Source organism: Homo sapiens, chromosome 8 (assembly GCF_000001405.40).
Source record: "Homo sapiens chromosome 8, GRCh38.p14 Primary Assembly".
Taxonomy (NCBI): domain Eukaryota; kingdom Metazoa; phylum Chordata; class Mammalia; order Primates; family Hominidae; genus Homo; species Homo sapiens.
In genome coordinates this window covers 102,972,329-102,980,606 of record NC_000008.11, presented here as the reverse complement: position 1 = coordinate 102,980,606, position 8,278 = coordinate 102,972,329, and the positions used below count along the sequence as shown (strand labels likewise).

At 41.3% G+C, this 8,278-nt stretch overlaps 1 long non-coding RNA gene across 2 annotated transcripts in view, besides 1 other annotated feature; it reads right to left on the bottom strand.

The window, feature by feature from the left end:
- Window positions 754-903: an enhancer, noted in NCBI's record as "active region_27785". NCBI's record gives its function as "activates an Ori minimal core promoter by ATAC-STARR-seq in GM12878 lymphoblastoid cells {active_cell/tissue: GM12878}" and the evidence as "EXISTENCE:reporter gene assay evidence [ECO:0000049][PMID:35858748]".
- MAILR (macrophage interferon regulatory lncRNA) overlaps window positions 2,731-8,278 on the bottom strand; it is a 113,606-nt gene continuing 108,058 nt past the window's right edge. For both annotated transcript variants that reach the window (NR_126338.1, NR_126339.1), the window contains one exon: window positions 2,731-3,020. This is a non-coding gene — a long non-coding RNA (macrophage interferon regulatory lncRNA). The remainder of the gene's footprint in view (window positions 3,021-8,278) is intronic.

The following is an 8,278-nucleotide window of genomic DNA, read 5'->3' as shown; positions in this document are numbered from 1 at the left end:
GATAAATACCTCTTGTATTAGAAACTCAATCACAAGAAATTAACAAACAGGCCACCTGGTTAAAACAAGTTGAATCCCCCTCTGGTTCATTCCTTGATTTATTCAATTTTAGCTGGTTTGATTCATGAGGACCTTGGCTAAGGAGCATACTCTAGTCTCTTGGTATTATCCTCCTGATGGTCATCATTGTAATCACCCTGTTTGCTGTATTCTGTCAAGAGTCTTAAATGCATGCTCTCAGCCATCAGTGGTACATTAGATGCTCTCACCTTGATCAGAGTGACAATAATGATGTGAACAACAAAGGGAATCTTTCTTCAATGAGCCTAACATCATGACTTGTGAGTTCCACAGAGACAAAGACAACTTACCTGTGATGGTGACAGGGAGGGGTGCCTATGCCTAAGTATTGTTCAGTCTCTCATAAGAGGCTGACCAAAAGCAGAGAATAATTGTTTTTAACAAAAATTCTAACAGGGAGGGCATTAGACTGTTAAAGCAAACTAAATATGGCCTGAGAAGGACTTCGTGCTTCTATATTTGAGTCCTTGTGGACAAACTGTAACTTAGCTTAATAGGCATACAAAATTGAAATCCTAATTTAGAAGCATGCACCTGTAACAATAGCTGCATTTTTGGCCAATCCCAGCAGCCATATTTCAGCCACTCATAGCCTGCTAAGTGTTGAAACCATGTTCAAATAAAGCAAATGCCAGCCTGTAACCAATCCAGCTGTTTCTGTACCTCACTGCTGATTTCTGTACATCACTTCCCTTTTTTTGTTTATAAATTTGTTCTAACCACAAGCCTTCTCTGGAGTCCCCGAATCTGCTGTGATTCTGGGGACTGCCCAATTCGTGAATCATTCATTGCTCAATTAAACTCCTTTAAATTTAATTCAGCTGAAGTTTTTCTTTTAACAAGACGGAGGCAACCCTACCACTTTAGGTTCCTATATGTAAGCAGACTGGAGCCCAGTGTAAAGAGTAAAACAAAACTAAAGACTACCAATAAGAAAACACCAGCTAACCTCTAACTAGGGTCTTTCCACCTAATCCAATGAAGTACACTTTCATCTTCCCTTTGTGTAAAAGCTCACTGCCCATGCTGCTGCAACAAAGCATTCTGAATTTCTTTTGATTCTGAGAACTACCAATTCATGAATTGTTCTTTGCTCAAAATAAACTATTAAATGTATATTATCTAAGGTTTTTAAACGTTAGTAATTTAAACATTAGAAATATTAAATTTCTACGTAAATAAACAACATAGAAAATAAATAGCAAGAGTAGACCGGGCACGGTGGCTCACGGCTGCAATCCCAGCAATTTGGGAGGCCAAGGCAGGTGGATCACCTGAGGTCAGGAGTTTGAGACCAGCCTGGCCAACATGGTGAAACCTCGTCTCCACTAAAAATACAAAAATTAGCTGGGCATGGTGGTGTACACCTGTAATTCCAGCTACTTGAGAGGCTGAGGCAGGAGAATTGCTTGAACCTGGAGGCAGAGTTTGCAGTGAGTCGAGATTGCGCCACTGCACTCCAGCCTGGGCTACAGAGTGAGAGTCCCTCTCAAAAAAAGAAAAAGAAAACAAATAGCAAGAGTAAATAAATTGTAAATGAAACAACAAGAGTCATTTGGATAGTGCTTACCTTCTTGTGTAACTTACGACATGGAGAGAGCATCTTTTCTCTGACGTGATGAATTGTTCTCCTTTCTAAGACTGGATCAGCTCCCAACATTTTATCCTTTGTGTTTTCAGCGTCATGAAAAATTTCCCAGAGTTGCTTCAATGTGAAGTTTCTGCCAGGACCGCTTCCTCTGAGACAGCATGCTTTTTGCCACACTTCCTTCCTCATTTATGTTAAGTTTGCCTTTGCTAAGTTCCTCTGGCTGCATATCCTCTTGAATGATGCAGTGGCCACATTCTCACAGTGAACTGTTTTTCTGTAACTCATTCAATTTGGAGTTCATTTCTAGCATTACTACTTTTTGGACTTTTTTCTGCGCTTTCATCTTTGTTGGCCAATTTCCTCTTTTGAGTATCCATTATTGTAAACCATCATGTGGCTTCATTCACAGGAAAATCAGCAACACAACTACACGCTTTGCTGTGTAGGAACTGAACATATGTGCAGTGGCCAATCATTAGTGGACTTTGAAAGGAGAGGTGTGATTGGTTATTGATCATGCTATGCATCTGTTATTTACATAGTGATTTGTGGACTAAAGAGCTGACAGTGAGGTTTGTACTTTGTGTAATTGTGCACAGTTAATAACGTTGTAGCTGAAATTTGAACCATGTTGTTGGGGTTCTGGTGTGATTTAACTAAATGGTGGTAACTAGGATTTGTGCATATTGGGACCATGCAAAGTGAGGACTAACTATACTTCCAACCCTTACCAAGACTGATCCAGCTGCTGCCATTATCAAATGTCTGATATATCTGCAACAGAGACCAACACTGAGCCCTTGATGTGACACCATTCCTCAATGAGACCAACTGGCCGCTTGATGGAAGCTGACTACCTTAGGTCTCTTCCACCCTGGAAGGGTCAGTGGTTTGATCCCACAGGACATATTCAGGTTATGAGTTTTCCTATATAAATGTAAATTGTCTAAACATCATTCTTTGTCACTGAATAGAATGCTTCAGAATATATATACTATAATATTATTTAGAAAAACATTTAAATAATGTAAAAACAATATTAAATATTGATACATATATAGAACTTTTGAAGTATTTTTTAATAGATTGATTAGATACACACTACACTCACTGCAAGGATTCAGGTGGTGGAAAATAAAGCAGTGAAGATCTCTTGCTTTGCAGAAATATTTCTTGGATTTCATATACTTTTAAGGCCATATTGGAAGCTGGCAAAGATCCCACTGAGTCCTGGTTGGTAAGTAAACACAGCCTGCTTTTTAGCTTCCAGCTCTTTGCAGAGAACCATGATCCTCCTTTTCCTTTCTCCAGGGCTAACCCACTTCTTCCTACGCTCAGATTTCTGATTCTGGAATACAAAACGTACACTGTGAAAGCCTGAGGGAAAGGAATGCCCTCCCACCCCTATCCCAGCCCTCCTATCCCCTCAGCCCCCACTCCTGTCACAATTAAGCACAATGGCAATGAGCACTAGGACCCCGCACTTGACCGTTTTAGGGACCCTCTGTCTGCAAGTGGGTGAAGAACCACTGAATCTTTCTTGTTTTTTAAATTTTTTTTTTTTTTTAGAGGCTGGTGTCTTGCAATGTCGTTCAGGCTGGAGTGGCACACTCACAGCTCACTGCAGCCTCGAATTCCTGGGTTCAGGCGATCCTCTTGCAGCAGCCTCCTAAGTAGCTGGGACTACAGGCGTGTGCCACAGTGCCTGGCTGAATCTTGTTGAGAGGAGCTTAGTCAGAACTGGAGGTCTACTGAAAACCACCCTAGTGAGTGAGGCATGGGCATACTAATCGTGCTCCACTATTGCCCAACATCCCAGCATCGGGGTTGCTGCTGGTACTCCTTCTACCCTGTTCGGTATGGGCTGTACGCTGAGCTCAGGGAGGGGCAAGAAGGTACAAGGACTTCATGTTTTCCAGTCTGGGCAAGGAAAGGGCAGACTGTCTTACTGCCTTCTTTGGAAAGAGAGGGTTTGGCCCTCCCTTTTTGCATAAACTGCTTAGACACGCAGCACTGTAAGAATACCCAGACTTTATTGCAAACTCTCTAAGATTTGGTTCAATCTGATTTATCATTTCCAAATTCCACTTAATAGAGTGTATTTCTTGCTGATTTTATTTTATTTATTTTTTACCCTGTCCTAACCAGAATGCTTTTGAGTTTCCCCTTGTGTTTTTTTTTTCCTCTCTCTCATAGGTTGAAATTATCAAGGAGTTTGAGATCTTCCTACCTGTAAGAGTTTGCAACCCAGCCAACGAAGGGAGTAAAAAAAATTATGTCAAAATATTTTACATACTGAATTTCAAAAAGCAATTATTTGAGATTTTTGAGACACTAATGTATTCTTTATACCAACTTCAACCAAAGGGATGGCAGAAAGCAGAAAAGACTGTTTCATTATTGAGAATAAAGATCAATTCTATTTTACAAAACTGGGATCTTTCAGATAAGTAAGACAAGGTTTGCAAAGCACCTGGTAGTTTGCCTGGCATATAGAAGGTGCTTAATAACTCAGTTGTCATTATGTTTTATATGTGCCATATTAACTCTACAGTGCAGTTTAGGAAGACTCTCACTCTCTCTAAACCAGCCTTTCTCACAGGTTAATGTGAAATTAAATTACCTGGAGTTTTGTTAAATTGCAGATTCTGATTCAGTGGGTCTGGGCTGAGGCCTGAAAGATGCTTTTTTTTTTTTTTTTTTTTGAGACAGGGTCTCATTCTGTTGCCCAGGCTGGAGTGCAGTGGCACAATCATAGCTCACTGAAGCCTCAACCTCCCAGGCTCAATTGATCCTGCCGCCTCAGCTTCCCAAGCAGCTGGGACTACAGGTATGTGCCACCAGACCTGGCTAAGTTTTTGTATTTTTTGTAAAGACAGGGTCTCATTATGTTGCCCAGGCGGGTCTTGAACTCCTGGGCTCAAGCAATCCTTCTGCCTCAGCCTCCCAAAGTGCTGGGATTACAGGAGTGAGCCACAGCACTCAGAAAGATGCATTTCTTTCTTTTTTCTTTTCTTTTTTTTTTTTTTTAACTTTTAAGCTCACAGGTACATGTGCAGATTTGTTACATAAGTAAACTTGTGTCATGAGGGTTTGTTGTACAGATTATTTCATCACCCAAGCATTAAGCCTAGTACCTATTCACTATTTTTTCTGATCCTCTCCTTCCTCTCACCCTATGTGCAGTTCTAACAAGCTCCCAGGTGTTGCTGATACTGCTGGAATGAGATCCACACTCGGAGTTATCAGGGTTCTACCTCATAGGTTGAAATGACTATTCCTACTCATTTCTAACCCTACAGTTGTATGCTGTTTGTTTCATCTCGTGTGCCTTGCTTTGACCCCCAACCATCCATTCAGATCCCACATAACATCCACGATACAGTTTATGCTCCACTCTCTTGATTAAACCTTTCTGCCAAATTATTATCTTAATAGATTAGTATTATCTCTAAAACGCTGAATCAAATTTAATTGGATTCCTCTTATCAGGATTGGTAAGAGGTTGGTTAGTTAACCTGAAAAGTTGGTTAAGGCAGGCAAATCATAATTTAAACATACCTACTTTAAACGTTTAACAGCGTTTAAATGTGCATTTGTTGGCCAGTTTTTTGACATGGGGCCTAGTCCTTTTGTTTGAGTAGACCTCCCTTGAGAAATATTCTGCCTCTTCTTTCTTACGCAAGCCATCCCTATATATATTGATTAATCCTTCTTGAGTTGTGAATTATTGTCTAAAACTTTCATAGATTTCCTGGCCACACCTAATTTGACCACTTTTTTTTTTTTTTTTTTTTTTTTTTTTTTGAGATAGTTCCTTGCTATGTTGTCCAGGCTGCACTTGAATGCCTGGGATCAAGTGATCCTTCCTCCTCAGTCTCCTGAGTAGCTGGAACTACAGGCACATGCTACATACCCTATGTGACCATATTTCTTTAGTGACTTACCTTAGTTCATTTTACTTGTTTTCATACACACTGCAAGTCTTTCTTTTTGCCCTCAGATTTCACTGGTTTCTTAATTTTTAAAATTAGTTACAAAAGCGAACACAAATCAAGTCCAAAAACAAACACAGCCAACTATTCTTAGGCATACAGCTCAACTGTGGGAGGAGAAGATGGGGGATAGTATCTGTGGTGGGCTGAATAATGGCACCTCAAAGATGTTCGTGTCCTAATTCCAGAAACTTACAAATGTTTCTTATATGGCAAAAGGGATTTTTCAGGGTGTGATGAAGTTAAGAATCTTTCCCGAATTATCTGGATGGGCCCAATGTACTTCCAAGAGTCTTTGTAAGAGGCAGGCAGGAGGGTCAGTAAGTAGTAGAGGTGACTATCTTAACCTTTTTGTGTTGCTATAAAGGTATATACTCAGGGCTGGGTAATTTATAAAGAAAAAGAAGTTTAATTATTCTAAGTGAAGTAACTCAGGAATGGAAAACCAAATATCATATGTTCTCACTTATGAGTGGGTGCTAAGCTCTGAGGATGCAAATGCATAAGAATGATAATAATGGACTTTGGGGACTCGGGAGGAAGGGTGGGAAGGAGGTGAAGAATAAAAGACTACACATTGCATACAGTGTATACTGTTTGGGTGACACGTGCACCAAAATCTCAGAAATCACCGCTAAAGAACTTATCTATGGAACCAAAAACCACCTGTTCCCCAAAAACTATTGAAATCATTTTTTTTAAAGCGATTTATTTGGCTTACAATTCAGATGGCTGGAAAGTTAACGATTGGGCATCTGCACCTGGTGAGGGTCTCAGGCTGCTTCTATTCACGGTGGGAAGAAAAGGGGAGCTGGCCTATGCAGAGATCCCATGGTGAGAGAGGAAGTGGAAAGGTGGGGGAGGTACCAGGACCATTTTTTTTTTTTTTTTTTTGGAGACAGGGTATTGCTCTGTTGCCCAGGCTGGAGTGCAGCGGTGCCATCACAGCTCACTGCAATCTCAAACGCCTGGACTCAAGTGATCCTCCTGCCTCAGCCTCCCAAGTAGCTGGGACTACAGGTGCATGCCACCATGCCTGGTATCCAGACTCTTTTTAAACAACCAGCTCTGATGGGAATTAATAGAGTAAGAATTCACTTGCCTCTGAGGGAGGCCATTAATGTATTCATGAGGGATCCGCCTTCATGACCCAGACAACTCCTATTAGGCCTCACCTCCAACATTGGGGATTAAATTTAACATGAGGTTTGGATGGGACAAATATCCAAACCATAGCAATGATGATAGAAGCAAGAGGTTGGAGTGACACCAAGAAACAGCCATGAGCCAAGGAATGCTGGCAGCCTCTTGAAGCTGAAAAAGGCAAGGAAACCAATTTTTCCCTCAGACCTCTAGAAAGAAACAGCCTGTCCAAGACCCTGACTTTAGCCTGCTAAACCTGATTTTTGACTTCTGAGCTCCAGAACTGTAATGTGATAAATCCATGTTTTAAGCTATTATGTTTGTGATAATTTGCCACAGCAGCCAAAGGAAACTTAATACAGTACCCAAATGTCCTGTTCTCAAGAGGCACTCAGAGTGCAGTGTGGTACTGAGGGAACGTGTTCATCTGTCTGGCAGCTGGAGTAAGTGAAGGGTAATTGAAAAGCACTTCTGCAATTACTCTGGGACTGTATTTTTGTTCACTAGTTATTACATATGTCTTGCCAAACAGATGGCAAGTTCTTTGAGAGCATCAACAGGTTCTTTTGCTGACTTTGCATTTTGAAAGATAGCATTTTTAAGAGGGCAACTAATCACTTGAGGTATTTATAATTTAAAAATAGTCTGTGCGGAGCCAGGCATCTGCCTGGAGTGCTTGTAGTCCCAGCTCCTCAGGAGACTGAGGAGGAAAGTTTGTTACACCCAGGAGTTTGACTCTACCCTAGGAAACACAGTAAGCCCCTCATCTCAAAAAAAAAAAAAAGTTTGGTGTAGAATTTTTGTCACTTAATCTTTAGTGTATTTAAGGTTTGATTTTCTCCCTGTCAAGACAATTGGATTCTCTACTGTGCTTTTAAAAAATTCTTTAATCAGGCCAGGCACGGTGGCTCACACCTGTAATCCCAGCACTTTGGGAGGCGGAGGCGAGTGGATCACCTGAGGTCAGCAGTTCCAGACCAGCCTGGCCAACATGGTGAAACCCTGTCTCTACTAAAAATACAAAAATTAGCCAGGTGTGGTGGTGGGTGCCTGTGATCCCAGCTACTCAGGAGGCTGAGGCAGGATAATTGCTTGAAACAAGGAGGTGGAGGTTGCAGTGAGCCAAGATTGTGCCATTGCACTCCAGCCTGGGCAACAGAGCAAGATCCCATCTCAAAAAAAAAAATATATATATATATATATATATATGATGTGAGATGGAGAAAACATAGCAAAGGTTTTAGAGTCACACTGGCCTGCTTTAGATGCCTTGACTCCCAGTTCAAAGGCCGAATGAGGCAGAAGAGATGACAGCTTCCCTGTGAGTCCAGTTCAAAATGGGGTGCTTGGCGGAGTTTGGCTCTGATTTTGGCTTCTAGGAAAGGGCTGCCAAGTGTCTTCCCCAGACACCCGTAAGTTGGTTCCACCTCCTTGTCCTGACATGTGCAGCTGGTAGACCTACCCTACA